General features: G+C 39.8%; 1 protein-coding gene across 8 annotated transcripts in view, besides 2 other annotated features; it reads left to right on the top strand.

The window, feature by feature from the left end:
- Positions 1-23,820, top strand: part of COL4A3 (collagen type IV alpha 3 chain) — a 150,169-nt gene that overhangs the window by 9,789 nt on the left and 116,560 nt on the right. The gene's annotated exons all lie outside the window — the stretch shown is intronic.
- Positions 11,144-11,682: an enhancer, noted in NCBI's record as "H3K27ac-H3K4me1 hESC enhancer chr2:228050272-228050810 (GRCh37/hg19 assembly coordinates)". NCBI's record gives its function as "activates a minimal SCP1, AML or CMV promoter by ChIP-STARR-seq in primed H9 embryonic stem cells {active_cell/tissue: H9 hESC(primed)}" and the evidence as "EXISTENCE:reporter gene assay evidence [ECO:0000049][PMID:30033119]".
- Positions 16,311-17,510: an enhancer, noted in NCBI's record as "MED14-independent group 3 enhancer chr2:228055439-228056638 (GRCh37/hg19 assembly coordinates)". NCBI's record gives its function as "activates an origin of replication core promoter dependent on BRD2, BRD4, P300/CBP and CDK7 cofactors, and independent of MED14, by STARR-seq in HCT116 cells {active_cell/tissue: HCT116}" and the evidence as "EXISTENCE:reporter gene assay evidence [ECO:0000049][PMID:35650434]".

Here is a 23,820-nt window from a genome sequence, read left to right on the forward strand (position 1 = left end):
AAATGGTGACAACATATTTATAGCAGACAGAAGTGCTCCATATAGTGCCTGGTACAGAATGCATATCCAGCGTTTTTAGTCTAGTGATTATTATTATTATTATTATTATTTTGAGATGGAGTCTTGCTCTGTCACCCAGGTTGGAGTGCAGTGGCGCAATCTCGGCTCACTGCAAGCTCCACCTCCCAGGTTCAAGTGATCCTCCTGCCTCAGCCTCCCGAGTAGCTGGGATTACAGGCACCTGCCACTATGCCCGCCTAATTTTTGTATTTTTAGAAGAGACGGGGTCTCACCATGTTGGTCAGGCTGGTCTTGAACTCCTGACCCGAAGTGATCCGCTCACCTTGGCCTCCCAAAGTGTTGGGATTATAGGCGTGAGCCCCTGCACCCGGCCTAGCGACTATTATTTTATTATCATTACTATTCAAGGCCAGACGCTAAGATAGAAGACATAGGCGCTGGGCTAGGTGCTGGGACTCATTGGTAAACAAAATAGTCTGAATCCCCAGCCATGATGGAGTTAGAAGGCAGCAGCCCAGTGAAGAGACAAATGTGTAACATCAGATTGTGGTGCTGCAGGAGAGGATGGGGTGTGGTGATGGAGAAGGAGACTTTTTAACATTTGGTAGAGGTGGTCAGGGAAGCAGACTGAGGCTGGACATGGTGACAACCTTGTGAAGCACTGAGGGATGTGGTCCAGGACAGGGCCTCTCAGAAGTGGAGAGAGGCCACACACTACCAATTTTACCACTTCTGGGTTGTCAAAGAATAAAACCAGGCCAGGCACAGTGGCTCAGCCCTGTAATCCCAGCACTTTGGGAGGCCAAGGTGGGCAGATCACCTGAGGTCAGGAGTTCGAAACTAGCCTGGCCAAAATGGTGACACCCCATCTCTACTAAAAATACAAAATTAGCCGGGCATGGCAGCAGGCACCTGTAACCCTAGCTACTCAGAAGGCCAGGGCAGGAGAATCGCTTGAACCTGGGAGGCAAAAGTTGCAGTGAGCTGAGATCACGCCATTGCATTCTAGCCTAGGTGACAGAGCAAGACTCCATCTCAAAAAATGAAATAAAAAAAACCAAGACAAACAGAGCTTTTGAAATAAAGAAATAACATGAAATTTTAAAAGCTGAGTTTATATGCTGATCACAAAGGGAATTCCTGGCCCTGAAGGAATATGCTGAGTATTTTGCTACAGGTGAGGTGGGGGATGGGACACAGGGAGTCAGGGTACCACAGAGGAGGTGGGTCTGTCGTGGTTATGCTAATTGAGGATTGAGCATTGCTGGATAAATAGGGTGCAATAAGTCCACAGGCCTCTACATGGCTGTCTATGGTATAATTTTAATGTTCATGTTTAACAAATCAAAATTTTAGCAAAAGAGATATAATGCAGTGTTTTTATGCTATTCCCAAGACATTTGCATTAGTAATGAAATGACAGTGTGGTTTGGGAATCAGCCCACATATAAAATGGTGTGATGGAAACATTCTTCTTTCATTCCTGTTGACATATCTCTGCCCGTCTTTCTTCAGTCTCATTGGGATAGGTGTGAATTAGCCAAATGTGGCTGTGAAGCCCACAGCAAGATTGCCAAGCTAGGCCCAAGAGCCCTTATCCCACCTGACACAGGACCAGCACAGAGAAAGATGAAACCCAGTTAAGGATCTGGAAGAAGTGAGGAGCTCCTCAGATGAAGAGGAGGGGAAGAGAACCAGTCTAGATCAACATGGCAATTGCTCAGTCTGTCCCGTTTAATTGATTTGGTGCCATTATTTTGATAATTATTTATGTACATATGGAAGGTTAAAAATCCACCCCACTTCTAGTGCTTAGTACATACAATATCAGACTATCAAAAATGTTTCTTGAATCTTCCTAGGGTATAAAAATAAATATTTCCACATACCAGCGTCGGTATTGTATATGTATGATATGAGTGTGTACATATAAATTTGCACACACGTATATTTAAATAATATTTTATATTCTCAGCATTTTGGTATTAATTATTGCGGTGAGATCATGACTTTAAAACTCGTAACCTTCAGAGCCATTTGAAACACAGCCATATAAAAATCTTTTAATTTTCTAGCGGTAGTTTTAGGGTAAGTTAGGAGTTTTCCAGTTTAATCTTTAAGATCCATGTTTGTTAATTAGATTGTCTCTCCAAACTGGTTTCTTAGAGAAGTGATCCCAGTGTTTAAAAATGAGTTCAAGTGTATTTAGAAACTTTGAGAGATTTGTCGTTATGTAGACAAAACAGTCAGGTCATTGGATTTTTTTCCCACCGGGATATTTTGGTTGTTACATGAACTTCTCAAGGAAAAAAGTTCCACAAGTGGGAAGTTGGCAAATCTGCAATATTCTTTCTCTGTATCAAATGACGAAGTTTGTCTGGAGAGACCCAAGGCAACAAGGCCAGATATTTATTTTCTTTGTTGAACCAGAATGATAGGATAATTTTATGCTGTTTGCTTATGCTGATATTGGGAAAGCTAAAGAACTTGCATGCTGGCTTTAAAAAAAAGTTATATGTGCTGTACAAAATTTGGAAAAAGTCTACAAGTATGAAAAGAAACATAAAAATTAAAACTATTTATAATCATATTACCCAAAGAGGATTACTGGTAACATGTTAGTCTATTTCCTTCCAGATTTTTTTTTCTCCACTCTGCTTTTTCCTCCTAACAACAGACTGGTGAAAATTTTTGTGTCATTTATTTTTCTTTCCTTTTTTTTTTTTTTTTTCTCCAGATGGAGTCTTGCTCTGTAACCCAGGCTGGAGTGCAGTGGCGCCATCTAGGCCCACTGCAAGCTCCGCCTCCCAGGTTCACACCATTCTCCTGCCTCAGCCTCCTGAGTAGCTGGGACTACAGGCGCCTGCCACCACTCCCGGCTAATTTTTTTTTTTCGTATTTTTAATAGAGACAGGGTTTGACTGTGTTAGCCAGGATGGTCTCAATCTCCTGACCTCATGATCCGCCCGCCTCGGCCTCCCAAAGTGCTGGGATTACAGGCTTAAGCCACCTCACCTGGCCTATTTTTCTAAATATAATTTTTAAATGTCTATAGAGAACTTTATTGTAGATTGGTACCATAAGTTATTTAAGTAATGCCCTCTTATTGAACATTTTGATCATTTCCAATTATGTATTTAGAAATACGGTAGTCCTCCCTTATCTGCTATTTTGCTATTTGAGGTTTTAGTTACCTGTGGTCAATGGGTTCCAAAATATTCAGTAGAAAATTTCAGAAATAAACGATTCATAAGTTTTAAATTGTGCACCGTTCTGAGTAGCATGATGAAATCTCGCACCGTCCTGCTGTGTCCCACTGGGGCGTGAATCATCCCCTTTTCCAGCAGATGCACACTGTCTATGCTCCCTGCCCACAAGTCACTGAGTGCCCTCTGGGTTATCAGAGTGACTGTCACAGTATCGCAATGCTTGTGTTCAAATAGCTCTTACTTTACTTAGCAATGGTTCCAAACACAAGACTTGTAATGTTGGCCATTGGGAAATGCCAAGGAAAAGCCATAAAGTGCATCCTTTAAGTGAAAAAGTGGAAGCTCTCAACTTAATAAGGAAAGGAAAAAATTGTATGCTGAGATTGCTGAGATCTACGGTAAGAACAAATCTTCTATTCATGAAATTGTGAAGAAGGAAAAAGAAAATCGGGCCGGGCATGCTGACTCACACCTGGAATCTCAGCACTTTGGGAGGCCAGGGCAAAAAGTTCACTGTATTACCCAGGCCTAGGAGTTCAAGATCAGCCTGGGTAATACAATGTGACCTCTCTCTACCAAAAATTTAAAAATTAGCCGGGCATGGTGGCATGTGCCTGCAGTCTCAGCTACTCAGGAGGCTGAGGTGGGAGGATCGCTTGAGCCCTGCAGAGTGGAGGCTACAGCGAGCTGACAGCACACCACTTCACTCCAGCCTGGGCAACAGAGTGAGATCCATATCAAAAAAAGAAAAAGAAAAGAAAAAAGAAATGTGTGTATACTATATATAGAGTTCCATACTCTCCGACGTTTATTAAAGTCATTTTTTAAATGATTATGTATGCAGATGCTTTCTTAACAAATGTCTGATTTAGATGATGAGGTAATGTCATTATTTTATTTTATTTTTTTTGAGACAGAGTCACTCCATTGCCCAGGCTGGAGTGTAGTGGTATCATATTGGCTCACTGCAACTTCTGCCTCCCAGGTTCAAGCAATTCTCATGCCTTAGCCTCCTGAGTAGCTGGGATTACAGGCACACATCACCACATCCAGCTAATTTTTGTTTTTGTTTTTTTTTTGTATTTTTAGTAGAGACAGGGTTTCACCATGTTGGCCAGGCTAGTGTTGAACTCCCAACCTCAGGTGACACACCCACCTCAGCCTCCCAAAGTGCTGGGTGTCATTCTTGATTTATAGGTGAGAGACTGATCCAATGATGTTCATCAAATTAGTAGAGAAAGTGGGCTTATAATTGGGATTTCCGGTTATAAGGATATTTGGTAGAGCCTTTTCCTTTAAAAAAATAAATCATCATTATTATTATTTTGAGACAGGGCCTCACTCTGAGGCCCAGGCTAGAGTACAGTGGTGCAATCTTGGCTCACTGCAGCCTCAACCTCCCAGGCTCAAGCAATCCTCCCTCCTCAACCTTCCAAGTAGCTGGGACTACAGATGCATGCCACCACACCTGGCTAATTTTTGTATTTTTTGTAGACTGGGGTTTCTCTATTTTGCCCAGGCTAGTCTTGAACTCATGGGCTCAAGTGATAGGCCGGCCTCAGCCTCCCAAAGTGCTGGGTTTACAGGCATGAGACATCGTGCCTGGCCACAGCCCTTTCCAACCAAAAACTTCCCAGATAATTAAAAATGAGTGTCAGATGCCACTGTATTTACCATTTAAGTAATTAAGTAATATATGAGATAAATTTGAGTTTTAAAATGATGAATGCTTCATGAGACTTAAAAAAAGCATCAATTAATTACTTTTATTTACTGAAATATTACTTGACTCTGCAATCTAAAAATAGTTTAACCTACTTCCATGTTGCTTCCCTTACTCAACTCCTTGAAGAAGTTTTCACGTCTCATCCATCTTTGTGGTTCGAGCTCTTAATGTCACAGTTGGTATTTTATTAGATATCCAAACTAAAAAGTCAATAAAGAATTAGTAGTTCTTTAATCCTTTGACAGAAGAATAAAACGTTATTTTGGGACAAAACATTGAATGTTTCATTCATTCATTCCACAAGGCAGCAAATACTTTTCCATATCTTACTATGTGAGGGGTACAGTGCTACACGCTGGGAACAAAGGGAGATAAAACTCATGTGGTCCCTTCTGTCCTCATGGAGTATGCAATCAAGTGATGGGCTTAGATACGTGTGCAGAGAATAATAGTAAAATTATGCATGTTATAACGAGGTAAATATGGAAAAGCAAACTTTGAGTGGAGTTGAGAGGAGGAATAAGATTGATAAATGTACTGAACAGTGAACTTGCAGGCATTATATTAAGCAAATGCGTAAGTGCAACGGAGCCAGAAAGTATTATAGTAAGATTTCAGTGGCTTGAAAACATTGTTTATCTGCAAAGTAAAGTGCTTAAAACTGTTGGTAATGAACTCAGAAAGCAACAAGTAGAGTTACTGGGCGGTGCGGTGCTTTTACTGTCTTCTACTTTATGCCCCAGATCAAGCCCTTGTCAGCGATTAGTAGCAGTGCTTCAAGGTTTACAGACACGGACTAGATTCTTATTTTGCCATCTTACGCAAAAGCAGATCAGCAATCCTTTCCAAAAAGCAATAAAAACTGAGAACAGGGCAGCCTCTGAAATCTTATGAGATGAGGTTCCAACTGATTGGAAGCAAGACTGCATGTCCCACGCAGGTGCCAGTGCTCTCTAATTGCTGCAGAAAGGCAGAAGAATGAGATGTGGATTTATTGAGTACTGTCTGTGCCTGGGACTGTGCCCACGAAACCGTTCAGAGCTTCTACTCGCTGTGACCTGCTCAGGCCTTTCAGAGACGGAACATTCAGAGCCCATGTGACCTGAATGAGCAGCATCCCCACACCCTACAAGGGCAGTCATGCAGGCAAGGACATCTGAGGCACCCTGGGATCTAAAAGAGGCAGTGCCCGGCAGCAGTAAGAACCCTTCATCATGGTCCAGAAGAAAGGCACTGTTGTGACAGTTTTGGGCAAGTCACTAAAATTCCAAGGCCACTCAGATTCAAATTCAGTTTCTGTTTCCTGAATCACAAGATGTGGCACATAAAATCTTCCCCTCCTATCTCCTGAAACAATACAATCGCACATTTTACACACAGTCAAGCATTCCACAAATGCCAAGTATTACTGAGACAGGAATGAGATTCAATATCAGAAAAGCAATAGTCCAAATGTTTTTTATACTCATTTAATTCTCCTTTTATTTCGTGACCTAGTATCAACTTCCTGGAATGCATTAAGGAGTTTCTTGTTTTTGAAAATATTATTCAGTGCATTCTTTGCTGCTGGTATTTTCTAATAACATTATTTGAAACATCAGCAGAAATGGCATCCTCCCTTAGGACTATCCCGATTAAAAAATGAGCAGAGTATTTACCTTACAGCATCCTGTGTAAATACTGACGCTAAAACTCAGCCAGTGATTTCATCACTTTTGTGATGACTTTATCAGGTACCTCAATGAAAATACCTGTTAATAGAGAAAAAATACCTGGTATAGAGATATTTCTGGGTAACATTTAATATTAATAATTTCTGCCTTTCTTGTCTTTAAAATAGAGAACTCTTTGACATGTATCTAAAAGAGAAGGCATGGAACCAGCTTTGGTACACAGCCTCCCTCAAATTCCATTAATGCGTAGTTGGCTGCATCAGGGTCGGCAGTATAAATTCATTTTGTGCACATTTACCGAGCACTTATGTGTGATGCACTCTTTTACAGAAACTCTTGAAATATCCTTCAGAGGATGAATCCTTGTGAAGTTTCAAAATGAAGCCACTGCAACTAATTATTAGATTGAACATAACTATTCTTTATACACAGATCTTTTTTCCCTAACTATACATGTAATGCATGTCATTTGTGAATATTTGAGATATATAGATAAAAGTAAAAACAAAACTATAAAACAAAAATAACTCCTCATATTAGAACCTGGGGATAACCAGTGAGAATATTTTGGTATATTTGCATAAAAGTGAGATCATATGGCATATGGTATTACGTATCCGGCTTTTTTGACATTATATTGTATTTTCTCACATCAGTAAATATCCCTTAAAAATGAATGCATAATATTTGATGATGTTTATATACCATAATTTAACTTAAAGTTTTTATGTTTTTAACAAGGCTATGATGATTTTTGCCTACATATCTGATTTTTTAATGACGGACATATAGTAGAATTATTAATTAGAGTAATGGGTATAATTTTTTTATACTGCAAGTTCTCCTTTCCAAATAATAGACACAGTTTTAATACTAATGAGCAAAAACATAAATAAAATCACCCTAAATTCTATCTTGTAAATATAACTAGAATTAACATTTTGATGTATATCTATCTTTTCTTATTTAATCTAAAATATGATTTCCCATAAATTGAAGATCTAATTTTTAAAAAATTTCCCCCAAATAGCCAATTTTCTCAGCATTACTTCTAGAATAACCTACTGCTGATTCCCTATTGATTTGTCTCAGCTCTTACCAAAAATGAACCATAGGAATATCTTGGCCACAAATAAATATGGAATTTACAGTTATTTTCCTTGTTTATTGGCCAGGAGTCAGCCAAATGTTTGATAGATTTAAAGCCTCCAGCCACAATCAGCTCTCCACTTCTGTGCCCCTCCACCCACTCACGACAGCTATGAATCTGGAATGAGGTGGGTTCAGAGACCTCCCATTCATGAACACCATAAAACATGCACATTGGCTCAAGATCATTCACTCATTGGAAGAGAATTTTGAGTCAGTGCATCAAAGAGCAATGTCCTGTTTTTCTAGACCACTCTACTCATCCCATCCCCTCCTGATTCTCTCATTCATTTTTAATGACCTCCCAGCAGGGGATATTTGTGAATAAAATCTATTAGATTTTTTTCTAGGTTTCTTAAAGGCTGATCTGGCTTAAACCATGCATCAAAATTAAAACTAAATTGACTTCCTTATATCAAGTTGAGCAGTAGCTTGATAAACATTATAGTGCATTATAATCTCAGAAATAGATTATATAATAGCTATATTATTATCTCAGAAGCAAATATAATGGGGAAAAAACAGATTTGTAATAAAGGCCTTAACACCCACAATTATTGGGGAAAAATGTTAACAATTTTAATCAGCCTCTATTGAAACAGAATATCAATCAAACCCCTCTTGAGCTATCACACATATATCCAATTCAAGAATTATTTAGTTACACAAATCAACATTTGCAATGTGTTTAATATGTTCTGATATAAAACCAGAAGACTAATACCAACTACTCTAACATTTACTAACATACTGTAAATGATTTACTTAGGAGTCTGTTTTAATAAAGTTCACCTTCACAAAGCAGCATTTAGAGAAGCTTCCCCTAAGTCAGACTTGTTTTTACATGTGAAACTGCTATGCTTTTTCAATTGGATAAATCACTGAATTGATCTAAATAGAGTGGGCTGATCTATGTTGTTATAAGCTCTTTTTGGCCTCTAATTTTCCTGTTTATTCAAAGTAAAGAAAGACAGTACTTTTTGTTTCTAAAATCAGAATGGTAGTTCCTCACTCTATAAGCAAATTGAAAATGATTACGTTCTTCATGGCCACCATAGCAAACCATGTCCCATAAGAGATGACCTCCCACACTCTCATTCTGGGGCCTCCAGGAGAAGGAGGAACAAGCTATGAGTTAGAATAAAACTAAGGGATGATTAATTCCCATTTTGAAAAATAAATTAGAAAAAAGAAATGGTGCTCAGGGATATGTAAAAGTCCCAAGGAGCAGTGCAGACCAGAACCAGAGACCAGAACAAGGTGGTGGATGGAAACGAGGAAAATACAAATCAGAGGGCTCATTGGAATTGCATTTGACTTAAGACTTTAGGTCAGACCAGGCATTAGGGGGCATACAGGTAGAAGATTGACTCAAACTTGGTGGAGTTACCAAACTTGGCCAAAAGGACTCCAAACCAAGATGAGATAGTATGTCCAAGGTCAACAGGCAGGCTTATGGAAGCCATGGACACCAGAAAACAGAGTGACATGGATATCTGCTACTTTCCCCTGACAATTATTCTTTCCTACTTCTGGTGGTAGCACATCAATTTCACTTGAGAGAACTACTCTCTCCTCCTTGCTTGTCAGTCCCTTAGTCAAAAGATTGGGCACAGGACCTAAGCCAAGCCAGTCAAGTGCCCTCTCCCAGGAATTTAAATCTTCAACTGAGAGTGCAAGGAGGTTATTCATCCTGACAGCAGCGCCTTGCAAAAACTCTCCATCAGTTCTTGTACCTTGATTCTCACAACAGCCCTGGGGCTGTTTTTTTCTGAGTTGTGTTTATTTAACTTTTCTTCAATTTCTATGTGCTGCCCCCATGTCATTCCAACAAATTCCTTTTTGATCATTGCATTAGCCTAAATCACTTCTGTTGCTTGCCACCTCAAAACCCTGGCAAGACATCAGGAATCCAGACAATAGTCTGGCCAGCAGAACTGGTGGTTCAGCAACCTTCTGCCTCAGCCAAGAAGCCTCTTATATGAACAAGTGAGGAGAGAAGTACCCTCAGGATCAACAAATGCAGACCAGCAAGTGCACATGGGTGAACCCTGGCTAGGAAACTCATCTGGCAGTTACCCAAGATGGACAAGGGAATGCGGAGACTGAGTTGCTGGTTAATTATTGCTTATCAGCAAACTGTGAGGCACTTCAACTTTTGCAGACATATGAGTGTCAGCCCTGGTAAAATTAAGATTGACTCAATCAGTCTCTAAAAGAAATGATAACTATTGAAATATCAGTCCTTCTTGGGTGACCTTGAGTGCCAGCTTGGTTTCAGCTTCTGCCTTGCTCATTGATGCCCCTCAAAAAGTGATAAGTCTTATATTTTGTACCAAGAAAGATCTGGTCAATATTTTTGCTATGCTACTACATTTTGGTATTCACTTCCAAGTCTTTCTTTATTAATATATCCTTTTACTTTTTGGGGATCACGTTTCCTTTTCCACCAGCAATAACTTAAAATATTACTTTACTGTTTCAAATTACTCAAAATATAAAATAGTGAGGTATCAAGTTAATAAAACATAACAAAATTTGATTATGCTTAAAGTTCATACCCGAACCAGATAAACCAAATAGAGCATTTTAAATATATAGAAAGACTCATCTTTTTTTCATTATGCGCATTTTAGAAAAATTCTCTCTAAACTTGTGTATACATTCTTGACCCCTCCTTTGCATGGCTGCCTCACTGGCCTTTTTTTTTTTTTTTTTTTTTTTTTTTTGAGATGGAGTCTCACTCTGTCGCCCAGGCTGGAGTGCAGTGGTGTGAACTTGGCTCACTGCAAGCTCCGCCTCCCAGGTTCATGCCATTCTCCTGTCTCAGCCTCCCGAATAGCTGGGACTACAGGCGCCCGCCACACGCCCAGCTAATTTTTTGTATTTTTAGTGGAGACGGGGTTTCACCGTGTTAGCCAGGATGGTCTCAATCTTCTGACCTCGTGATCTGCCCTCCTCGGCCTCCCAAAGTGCTGGGATTACAAGCGTGAGCCACAGCGCCCGGCCCTCACTGGACTTTTGGCATTAGGTTGCAATTCTTTTCTTAGGAGTGGATTCAGTCAGCCAAATTGTAAAAAGCAGAAAGCTTCTGGCCAAGTGCAAGGTCTGATCAAACAAAGGATGGGTGGTTTGAGGTGCTTTGACACAGGGCTTTTCGCAGTTACCCCAAGTGTGAGTGCACAGTGCTGCTAGACAACATGCCAAGATCAGATAAAATCTCTATATGGACCAGTTACCTTTTAGCTGTATGAGAAGAAGGGCAATTGTACACGTTGTTCTTGCTCTTGAATATAGGTAAGCTAGTCATTACTACTAAAAAAGCAATGACAACTGTAGGTTTAAGATAGTGTGTTCATCTTCATATATAAAGAGAATATCTATTTAATTTGTTATATAGTCCACTGATTTTCCCCTACTCCCATCACCATGTAGCTATTTGGTGTAATTATAATCCCCACAGAAGAGAGAAAACATTCCTTGTCAATAGGGAAGAAGTAAAAAGAGAACTGAAATTCAGAAGGAAAGCCTTAGGCTACTGGTTTTCAAACTTCAGTGTGCATGAGAGGGAGTGTATTTGAAAATGCAGATTTCCTGGCAAAATCCCCAGGGATTCTGGCTCAATAAGTCTATGGTGTGGCCTGGAAACCTGCAGTTGTAGCATCTCAGTTCATTCTGATGCAAATGGTCCTTGGAACTCTCATGTGAAAACATTGCCTCAGACTGAGGAAGAAGAGGGAACGCCTGCCTCTCTCTGGGCATCACCCTCTTGGACCTGGAATTCTAGACCTGTGGGCTACTGGAAGTGTCCAGATAATGAAGGAGTCAGCATCTCCTACAGGGAAGGAGAACTCAACAGCATGGGAGTGGACAGTAATTTGTTAACTAGAATAGCTGGTTGTGTGTTAGTCACGCCTTCTGTTTCTAAAGATTTGCCCCCCACCCTTGGGGTGGTGTTTGGAGAACGGGAGATTATTTGATTTGGTTTGATTTTTCGTATACTTTCAGGCTTCTATCACGCCCTCGATCACAGCACTGTTGAATAAGATAACGCGCATTACATAATGAGAAGTCAAAGAAACCAAGAAAATAAAAATCAAACAGCTGTTGTGATGGTGTGATAATGATGAGTGTCCAATAATGAGGCTTATGATGACACCATTGTCTTGGATGTCCCACTGGGAATTAAGGGGAGACTCTGCTGTCACCCTTGCTGCACAAGGCCAGTGTTGACAGTGGCATCATCATCTCTGCTCTCCCGAGGCCAGGCTAGTGTGGGGAACAGCTAATAGTGAGAGCAGCACAAAAGGAGTTTGAATTTGGTTGACCTGAAATTAGAGTTACAAAGTTCAGCCAGTGTCCTCTTCACAAGGAAGTTCTTCCCTTAGGCCAACCTTGGAGGATGCTAAGTTTGGTTTTATTAAGGGGGTAAGTAGGCTCCACCATCTGTAGATGTTAATAGGATTGGGATGCCATGAGGGAGAGTGTAGATCATCTGTTTTTGAGGGGGTATTCTATCACATTAAATGTTCTTGTTTCAGGACAGGTGAAGAATAGAAAAGGTTTTTGTCTTAGTCTGTTTAGGTTGCTCTACTAAAACATCATAAATTGGGTGGCTTATAAATAACAGACATTTATTTCTCACAATTCTGGAGGCTGGGAATTGCAATATCAAGGCACTGGCAGATTTGGTGTCTGGTGAGGGCCTGTTTCCTGGTTCATAGATAATACTTTCTCATTGTGTCCTCACGTGGTGGAAGGAGTGAGCAAATTCCCTTGGGACTCTTTAATAAGGGCACTGATCTGCTTCCTGGAACATTCAGTTAGAAAAGAGTTAGTTGAAACAGCTCCTCTTGATGGTGTTCTCCTCACTCATTAGAGATTTTCCAGATATTTTTAGTACACATGATGAACAGTAATTCATTTCTTCTATCTTTGTGTGCAGGAAGACACACTGTCTTTAAAAGTTTAAAGCACCCTACTCAGGATACTAGAGTAATTTTTCCATCTTCTTCAGGAATCTGGATTCCAGCAACCTTTCAGATATTGACTTACCAAGTTGCTGGACTGGGTCTTCTGCAAACAGAAAATTGGAGGGAGGATGAGGGTGAGGATGGGGAGACGCTGATAATCACACAGTTGTGACTAAGAAGAGAATGGTTGCTCCAGGGATGCCTTTGAATAGAAATTGACTTTGATGGTGTGATCATGGCAGGGGAGAAGTACAGCAGCAGGGATGAGCTGTGTATGATCCAAATGGCTCTACAAGCTGGTGTGCACATATATAACTAGATGGGGTTTCTTGCAGGGGAGGAAGCTTGGGGCAAAGACCCAAGAAATTGAGTTTTCTGTAAGTATACACCCTTAATAATTGGATAAATAGGAAGTTAGTTCTTGAGGCAGGTCTCATAGATAATGGAAGTTATTTTAGGAATATGCAGGCTTATTGACCTCATTAGCCCATTGTCCCTTCCACAGTGGGAATTATAGCAATGCAGTAGAAATTCTACCATTCCTGCTCCAGACAACCAACGCATGTATGTCCTAGCTCATGGTTTCTGCCTACTCAGCTTCCACATCATGGTTTCTATTCATTCATGTCTTCTCCTTCCAGAGTGTCTGCCTTCTACCTTCTCTCTGTTTATCTCAGCTTCCATTCCCACTACCAAGCATCTAATGCCCCATATCTCCAGAGGGAATAAGATTGGTCCAGCTGATCACTTCATGTTTGTCTCGATAGAGCTGTTGAGTCAGGGCATATCACAGCACAGTAGACTTGCCTGCTTTGGTCCAGTCAGCTGTACCCAAGAATACAGTTTATAACAAACAAACAGCAGCCCCCACTGTTTTGTTTTTATGAGGGCTAGAAGAACAACATCCCCGAACTACTCCTTTAAAAAAATTAAAATAAATGTTAGTAACTCCAGATATTTTCTGATTGTTCTACTCCAGTAGAAAAGTATGTTAAACCCAAATCTAGCAACTCTTCTTTAGAGGAATCCTGGCTTCTTCACTACATTGTTAAAGGACTTTGTAAAAAAAAAAATCACTTTTAGTATCAATATCAGAATTCTTTTTAAGTATCTGGAGTTAGAAAGTGGTAACATTTGGACATTGTATCCTTTTTTCTAGGAGAGTTTTAGTCTGATCCGTTTATAAGCAGATATTTAACACTGAAAAAGGACCCCAAATAGTCTTTTTAAAGCTCAGCGAGCCATTGTGAGTCATTGGCTTAACACAAAATACTTTTACATAACCCAGGCCACCGAGAGGGATATCCGGTCAGGTCAGCTATTTTTAAAGCACTTCTCCCCCACTCCATCTCACGTAACAGAGTTACAGCAGTTTGCTTAGAAAACTGGCTCAGGTTCTGTGGCTCATGGAATCAAAACCCAAATGAAATGTTTTTAACTTGTTTAAAACTGGAACCATTTTCACTTAAATGTGCTACACTACCAAATCAATAACTTTCTGAATTAGACACACATATATGCAAGCGGAATATAACTTTTTCACTGACATGTATATGGTATTATGTGTTGGGCTTGCCATATCATTTCCTAATTCATTAACTCATTCAACAAATATTTATAAGGCACTTACTGTGTGCTAGGTGCTGTGTTATGGCTGAAGACATGAGACTGAGCATGATGGACCTGTCCTCATAGCTTCCAGTATAGTAAGAGTTATGGACCAAGAAATGGGCAATTGTAATGTCACATGATAGGACAGGGATGCAATGACAGAGAATGCCTGCCGAAGGAGCATATAGAAGGGTGTCAGAAAACCCTTCCCAGAGAAAATGATGTCCACACTGAGACTGAAATCTAGCCAGGAAGGATGGGAGGAGAGACTCTTCCATATACAGAAAACAGCCCATGTTGGCTTGGGATTCTGTTTGAGCACCAGAGAGAAGGTGAGTGTCTGGAGGGAGAGAGGCCAGGGGAGGAAGGAAAAGGGAGCTGGGGAGAAAGGCAGGGCTCCATCCTGTAGTGTCATAAGAAGGAGTTTGACCTTGATCCTTAGAGGAATGGAGAGCACAGAAAAATCTTGAGCAGATCAGAAACATCATGAGATTTGTGCTTTGGAAAGAGACCCTGGTTGTGGTGTGGGAAATGGATTAGAGGTGAGCAAGAGAGGAGGTGGGTAGAACACAGAGAAGCAGAGGCAAGGTGTGGTGGTGATCCCCGTGAGACAAGGAGGTGGCCAAAAGGAACACAGTGACCAAGAGGGTGGAAAGAAGCAAGCAGATCTGTGAGTTTTTTGGTCTAATCAACGTGATGTGGTGATGACTGATAGATGACTCTGCACCCTCCCAAATTTAGCATCAAAGAACTGCTCACCCAGAGACTTGTGCTACATTCGTGTTACAAGTTAGTATCGGTAAAAAGCCTGTCCATTTCACTATATTAGTATGCATTTCTTTTATCAAGTAAGACCTAAATAACCCAGAGTTCTAATTTGCAGGCTTGAAATTGTAAGTAACCTAAAACTCTCCATTCAAAATAGAGTAAACCATTTTACATATATTTATTTGCTTCCATAATTTAAAAATTTAGAAGTCATGGAGGTTTCAGGTGAGGCTGGACCTAGCATTTCAAAGATATCATCAAAGACCAGGTTTCCTTCACCCCTTGTCTTCACATGATGTCTGCTTCATCCTAAGATTGCTTTCCCTCGTGGTCTCAGCCATATACTTCTCTGTGTTATTCTGCTATGAAGACAAGCCATTTCTACCAGTAATTCTTCCCCCCAAATCAGGAAGTTTCCTTTCCCAGAAATCATCAGAGAAAAACTTTGGAGTTGCATGCTCTAACGCCATAACAGTGGCTAGGTAGATGGATGTGCTTCTACCAAGAGAAAGGAAGAATGTCAGGTGGAAAAAAAAAGAAAAAAAAGCAAACATCCCCTGCATTCAGCACATTCCCTGATGCATCTTAGCTGCAGTCACTATTCATAAATGAGTTGAAAAATTCATCAAACAAGAATACATTGAGATCAATTGTCATATTTTAAATGCAAGGCACATGCAGGTCCCTCAAGAGCTGGAGGTAACTCAAGAGAGTGATGCTTCTCCCTTACTGCCATCTTGGCGTGCCTGCTCCATGATACTATATTTCCTCTGCTGGCTCTGCAAACATGCCTTGAATTCCATTTCTTGCAGATCCTGACTCCCTTTTAAAATATGGACATGCATGATGCTTCTCACAACAGTCTGTACCCATTCCTGAGGAACTAAAATGGAAACACTTCTACAGTCTGAAGCAAACACATAAATAGATATGTTTTATATGTCATCTAGGAATATATACATATCAGTTTATTATTTCGGATCAAAATATGTAACAGAAGAGGGACTTTGTGTATTCTTTGAGGTTGAAATGTATCACTAATTAAAACAAAGTGTATTAATTATTTTCTATTATAAAAGTAATAGGTAGTCTGGGCATCGTGGCTCTAATCCCAGCACTTTGGGGAGGCCAAGGCAGGCAGATTGCTTGAGCTCAGGAGTTTGAGAGCAGCCTGGCCAACATGGCGAAACCTCGTCTCTACAAAAAATTAAAAAATTAGTCAGGCCTGGTGGCACACACCTGTAGTCCCAGCTACTCAGAAGGCTGATGTGGGAGGATCGCTTGACACCAAGAGGTGAAGGTTTCAGTGAGCCAAGACCATGCCACTGCACTCCAGACTGGGTAACAGTAATATGTCATAACTAATGAAAATGTGCAAAATTCTGAAAAGTTAAAAGGAAAAAAGCAAATCATAGTTTACTACTTAAGGACAATATCATTAATGTTTTTAGCATCTTCTTCTAGCACTTCTATTATGTATAGAATTTTTTAAAAAATAGATGCAAAGGTTATTATATATGAAATTTTATGTCTTTTTTCTCTTAAAAATAGACTACATAAATAATACGTATATGGCCATGGAAACAATTTTTGACATTTAAATTTTCTCAACCACTTTGCTCTTTTTGGATACTTGGGGAATAACAAAATTTTTATTATTATAAGTAATACTGCTATGATCATGCCAATGACACTCTGCTTGATTTGGAAGTACATTCCTCGTACACATTCCCAGAAATGGATTTTTTTTTTGTAAAGGACGCAAAAGTTTAAGACTGTTGGCATATACAAAAGACCTATTTTCTGAATTCAGACTTTAGGCAAAAACAAAAAATTTAAGTGGGTGAGGGGGCAGGAAGAACAATAAAGAAAGCTAAGAAGTGTTTTGAAAAGCAGTTCACAAAATCACTCTTTACCAGCCACATACAAATGTTGAATGGCTCCATCCACGGTGCATTTGTGGAGCTCCCCTGTTGGCCATTCCCCGCATCAAGGATTCAAAGAACCTGCCAAGGGGCTGCAATGGGAGATTACAGTGACTCAGCAAATCAGGATGATCAGATTTCAAAGTCGGCCAAATAACTCATCTTGGAGACAGATGTAGCTGAAGTTTTACATTATGGCCTGCAAGAAACTTTATTCTAATAAAAGACAACTGTGTTTACAACTACTGGGCATATCTCAGGTTACCTTAAATGAAAATCATTTTCTTATTTTTGTAATTATGAAGGCTAAAAATAAAGATTTTTTTCATAATTAGTTTCTGGAACGCTAATAATAAGAAGAACTTAGAATATTACAGATTCTCTTACAAAACACAAAGACCTTGGAATAAATTTGGCAATTTCTTCAACAGCAGTGCCCTTATCAAAAACAGACACTTGAGAATTGTGGAAAGGGAAAAAAATTATCGAAGGAAAGTCATATTTCCTTAAATTTCTCTGTGAATGTGTACAGTGAATTTCTTCATCTCTAAAGCAAATCTTTAAAAAGGAAGAATTTGCTCTAAATTCAAGCATTCATTTTTATCTCTCTGTGCTCAAGTATTCATTTTTATCTCTCTTTGCTTTTGACACAGAGTATAAACGGTAATTATACCATCCAGTTGCAAAACGTCATTGAAAAACAGATGGTAAATTAATCCCAAACAATTATTACTCCAGGTTCTGACTATCAATTTTGTCTTGAACAGCTTGTCTAAACCTAGTTATAGAATTGTGAAGAAGGCTAAGTTTGTGTCTGGTTGTTGTCTTTCTCCCCTACCATTTTATTAAATATTTAATTTCTTCATGTGCACATAATGCTTTGAAATGTTAGATGTGGTTTAGCACACACTATCATATTTGACTTGCTCATTTCATTTTCCTCAGACCCTGACCAGGGCAGGATGAAAACCAACCTTTTCATCTCTACCCTCTTTTCATCTCAGCTAATTGTGGAATCAAATGATGCTGTATACATAAATGTGAACCCCTGTCCCACCCTTGGTATTGGGGCTTTGAAAGTCTTCAAACCCCACCACAATGGTGGTTGTATGGAGATCACTTGACGGTCTCATGTGCCCCAAGTCCTCAATCTCTGCAAGTGTCCCTTGGGACTTTGCTCAGTGTGTGTTTGTGGTAGTTGTTGTAGTGAAGGGTGGGGAGAAGGTTAGGGGTGTCCTGGAGGGCAGGGAGAGAGGTTTCATTGTCCCCTGGGGAGTGAGTGTGAATCATGAATGAACAATCCTTGACGAATCGAGTCAACCCAAATAAGAGTTTGGAACAGTGTTTCTCAAACTTTCTATAGTGAAGAAAATTTTGTTTTGTTTTTACATTTCCATTATATTGTGAGCCAATACTTTCTTAAAATATAAGAATAAAAAATTAAAAGAAAATGAAATTAAAAGATATAAAATATAAGCCCAAATATTTTAATCAGCATAAAATCACTCTATCAAATCACTCTAAGCTTTCTAAATGCTTACTTTCAATTTCTATATTTACCTTGTCATAGGTAAGAAACTGAGACCCATGCTTTGAGATGCACTAGTTTAGAGAAACTGAATAATGCAATTAAAAAGTTTCACCTGATAGGACTAAGTGCATCTCCTCCCTACAAGGATACATCTTCATTCCCAGTGCTCATAGAATATTTATAAAAATGGACCATAATTTGACCACAAAGAAACAATGAAGGAATTCTACAAATTAGATAAACTTATGGAACTGGATGAAGAATCAAAATCTGTTTACAATGCAATAAAATTTAAAACAACGACAGCAAAAGGCCTACCTATGCATTTTAAATCTTTTTCCTAAATAACTCTTAGTTTAAGGAAGGACTCAAGATCACAATGGCAGGATGTTTAAATAAATATTCATGATGCAAAGATTAGAAATAAAATCCTGGCTGGGCACGGCGGCTCACGCCTGTAATCCTAGCACTTGGGGAGGCCGAGGTGGGCGGATCACAAGGTCAGGAGTTGGAGACCATCCTGGCCAACATGATGAAACCCCATCTCTACTAAAAATACAAAAATTAGCCAGGCGTGGTTGTGCATGCCTGTAATCCCAGCTACTTGGGAGGTTGAGGCAGGAGAATCTCTTGAACCAGGGAGACTGAAGTTGCAGTGAGCCGAGATTGCACCAGTGCACTCCAGCCTGGTGACAGAGTGAGGCAAAAGAAGAAAAAAGAAAGAAAGAAGGAAGGAGGGAGGGAGGGAGGGAAGGAAGGAAGGAAGGAAGGAAGGAAGGAAGGAAGGAAGGAAGGAAGGAAGGGGAGGGAGGGAGGGAAGGAAAGGAAGGAAGGAAGGGGAGAGAAGGAGAGGAGAAGGAGAAGGGAAATAAGGAGAGAGGGAGGGAGGAAGGAAGGAAGGAAGGGGAGAGAAGGAGAGGAGAAGGAGAAGGGAAATAAGGAGAGAGGGAGGGAGGAAGGAAGGAAGGAAGGAAGGGGAGAGAAGGAGAAGGAGAGGAGAAAGAGAAGGGAAGGAAGGAGAGAAGAAGGAAGGAAGGGGAGAGAAAGAGAAGGAGAGGAGAAGGAGAAGGGAAGTAAGGAGAGAGGGAGGGAGGAAAGAAGGAAGGAAGGAAGGAAGAGTCCTATGGGTTATGTTCCAAAGAGTCTTCTGAAGAAAATGCATACCTGTTATATCATCAGCATCCCAATAAGAAACCCACGACACACTCACAATTGGATAATTTGAGAAGTTTATTTATAGAGACACTGTTTACAAAGGTGAGGTTCAGGTAAACCGTCTGAGATAGTTCAACAGACAAGTTATTTCCACCACTGCTCCCTTTCCTGGATCTAAGAAAGAGAGTGGTATTGAGTTGGCCACAATCAATGAGGGCTGAGGGGTGAGGGGCTGTGAGGGAGGGACCAGGTGCTCAAGGTAGCCCTGCAGGGAGGGAGCCAGGAAAGTAGAGGCCCTGACCTCGCTCTGCTCCTTCCCTCTCTCTGATCTTTTGCCAGAAGCCTGAAAGCTCAGGACCCCCTTGTGGGAGCCCCTTTCTGTGGTCCTCATGGTCAGCCCCTTAAGACAAGGAGCAGGCCTGGAAGGAGGAGTGAAAGTTATCTGGCATTGCTGTGAGCACATTCTTAATAAAATAAAGAAGATAAATGCAGTATGCAATCAACTCAAAAAATTTTCTTAAATTCAAATATAAAAAATTAAAGGGGGAAATTAAGCAAAAACGTAAAAAGAAGTGAATACAAAAGAAAGTAGAAATGCTGTAAATTCATAAATATTGTGGCTAAATGTTTGGAAAATACTTGAAAATAGAAAAATACTAGCTCTTCTAATCAAAGAAAAATAGAAACACCACTGATACACAAAATGAGAATATAGAAGAGACACATACAGGCAAAAGTAAAAATAATTTGCACCTGCCATGCTAATGAATTTGAAAACATGAATGAACTTAAATGATTTCCTGTTAGAGTATATATTACCAAAATTAAGAGATAGATAATCTAAATAAACCAATAATCTTGGGGAAAAAAGAAAATTTTCTATTAATTACCCTTTGAGGAAATTCCTACCCTAAAATTGTTATAAGTGAATTTTTTTCATTATGTCCAGAAATGACTGTTAGGCTATTCAACAGTTCGGTGCATAGAGAAAAATGATGGGGTCCTAACATTTTGTTTCCATTTTTGTTATTTTACAAATCTTTATAAATAGATTTTGAACTTGAGCAACATTAGGCAGAAAAATAAAATCATAATCCCAAATCACGTAAAATCCCATAATCCCAAATCCTGAAAAAAAAATCTTGAAAGAAAATTAGCAAAATAACATAATAAAATAAAAACTCAGTATAATCATGCATTGAATAACAATGATGTTTCAAACAAAGACACACCCCACATGTACAATGGTGGCCCATAAGATTATAATGAAGCTGAAAACTCCTATAGACTAGTGATGTATAGCAGTCCCAATGCCACAGTGCAATGCATTACTCCTGTTTATGGTAATGCTAGTGTAAACAAAGCTACTGCACTGCCAGTTGTATAAAAGTCTAGCACGTGCAGTTATGTACGATACATAATACTTGATAATGACGATAAATATTTTACTAGTTTGTTTACCATAATATACTTTTTATTATTATTTTAGAGTCTATGCCACATATATATATATATGTGTGTGTGTGTGTGTGTGTGTGTGTGTATGTGTGTGTGTATGCTGTAGAACAGCCTCAGGCAGGTCCTTCAGGAGATATCCAGAAGAAGACATTTTTATCATAGGAGATGACAGCTCCATGAATTATTGCCCTAAAGACCTTCCAATGCAACAAGAGGTGGAGATGGAAGACAGTAGTATTGATGATCCCGACCGTGTATAGGCCTAGGCTAATGTGTGTGTTTGTGTCTGTATTCTTAACAAAAAAAGCTTAAAAAGTTAAACAATAAATAAATAAACAATTTAAAAATAGAAAAAAGCTTATAGAATAAGGATAAAGAGAAAGAAAATATTTCTGTACAGCTAGCTGTACCATGTGTTTGTGGTTTAGGCTGTTATTACAGAGGAATCAAGACGTTTTAAAAATTAAAATTTATAAAGTAAAAAAGTTATAGTGGGCTCAGGTTAATTTATTATTGAAGGGAGAAAATTAGTTTTTATAAATGTAGGGTAGCCTAAATGTACAGTGTATATAAAGTCTACAGGAGTGTACGATAGTGTCCTGGGCCTTCACATTCACTCACCACTCACTCACTGACTCACCCATAGCAACTTCCAGTCCTGCAAGCTTCATTCATGGAAAATGCCCTATATAGGTGTACTATGTTTTTATCTTTTTTTTTTTTTTAGACAGAGTCTTGCTCTGTCGCCCAGGCTGGAGTGCAGTGGTATGATCTCGGCTCACTGCAAGCTCCGCCTCCCAGGTTCAAGTGATTCTCCTGCCTCAGCCTCCCGAGTAGCTGGGACTACAGGCACCGGCCACCATGCCTGGCTAATTTTTTGTATTTTTAGTAGAGACAGGGTTTCACCGTGATAGCCAGGATGGTCTCGATCTCCTGACCTCGTGATCCGCCCGCCTCAGCCTCCCAAAGTGCTGGGATTACAGGCGTAAGCCACTGCGCCTGGCCGTTTTTATCTTTTATATTGCATTTTTACCGTATATTTTCTATGTTTAGATATACAAACACGATTGCGTTATAATTGCCTACAATATACAGGTTTATAGCCTAGGAATCACATCTGTTATGTACTTTTGATCTGAACCAATAAACCTACATATGGTTGTAGGTAATATGTAAAACACAGTTATCTATTTATGTGTTTGTTTCAGACTGCAGGTATACTATATAGCCTAAGCGTATAGTAGTAGGTCATGTGGTTTGGATGTGTCCCCACCCAAATCTCATCTTGAATTGTGTAGCTCCTCCCATAATTCCCACACGTTGTGAGAGGGACCCAGTGGGAGGCGATTGAATCATGGGGGGTAGGTATTTATCATGGTGTTCTCATGGTAGTGAGTGAGTCTCATGAGATCTGATGGTTTTAGAAAGGGGAGTTTCCCTACACAAGCTTTCTTTTGCCTGCTGCCATGTAAGATGTGCCTTTCGCCTTCCGCCATGATTGTGAGGCCTCCCCAGCCACCTGGAACTGTTGGTCCATTAAAATTAAACCTCTTTTTCTTTATAAATTACCCAGTTTTGGGTACGGTTTTTTTGTTTTGTTTTGTTTTGTTTGTTTGTTTTTTTGAGATGGAGTCTCGCTCTGTCGCCCAGGTTGGAGTGCCGTGGCACAATCTCAGCTCGCTGCAACCTCCACCTCCCTGGGTTTAAGCAATTCTCCTGCCTCAGCATCCTAAATAGCTGGGATTACAGGTGTGTACCATCGAGTATGTCCTTATCAGCAGCCTGAAAACAGACTAATACAGTAGGCTATACATCTAGGTTTGTATAAGTACACTCTATGATGTTTGCACAATGACAAAATTGTCTGATGACACATTTCTCAGAACATATCCTCATTTTAAGTAACACATAACTGTATACTTAAAAAAAAATCACCAAGACCAAGTAGTATTATTCCAGAAATGCAAAGTTGTTTAACACTTGTATTTATAGAATTGACCATGTTTATGTCAAAAGAGAAAGACATAATCTTATCCCTAAGGTTACCAGAAAGCATTTGGGAAAACTTCCAGTCATTTCTCACAACACATACACACCTATCTTGGAAAAGTGGAAATGGAAACAAGAGGATAAGCAGAGTAGTCAATACTCTCTGAGCCCACTGTTCTGTGCCAGGCATGGTGGTGAGGGTTCCCCCACACCTCCATGAGGTAGGTTACAACAATTATCTCATTTCACTGACAAGGAAATGGCAGAGAGGAGAAGTAATGTGTAAGGTGTGTCTCAAGGTTGGTGAGTGGTAGAACTGGGAAGTCAGCCTGGCAGTCTCTCTCTAGAACTCTGGGGTGACCCCTCCAATATATTGCTTCTCCTGCCTTCTCTGTAAGTTGTGGAAATCGTGTTTATGCAGAGGTGAAGAACAGTCAAAATGCCAAATCCCTTGGAAGTGGCCACTGTTTGACTCTTCCCTCTTAGAGAGGCCCCGCTTGCCAGCTTGTTGCTCTAAGGACTGTTGCATTTTTCTCTTGGTTGGAATAGATTTAATTCAGTTCTCAGCTATCTATGTGGGTCATCTTCTGTAAGTGATAGTGGAGGCAGCTAACTTCCTGATTGTAACCACT

Source organism: Homo sapiens, chromosome 2 (genome assembly GCF_000001405.40).
Source record: "Homo sapiens chromosome 2, GRCh38.p14 Primary Assembly".
Taxonomy (NCBI): Eukaryota; Metazoa; Chordata; class Mammalia; order Primates; family Hominidae; genus Homo; species Homo sapiens.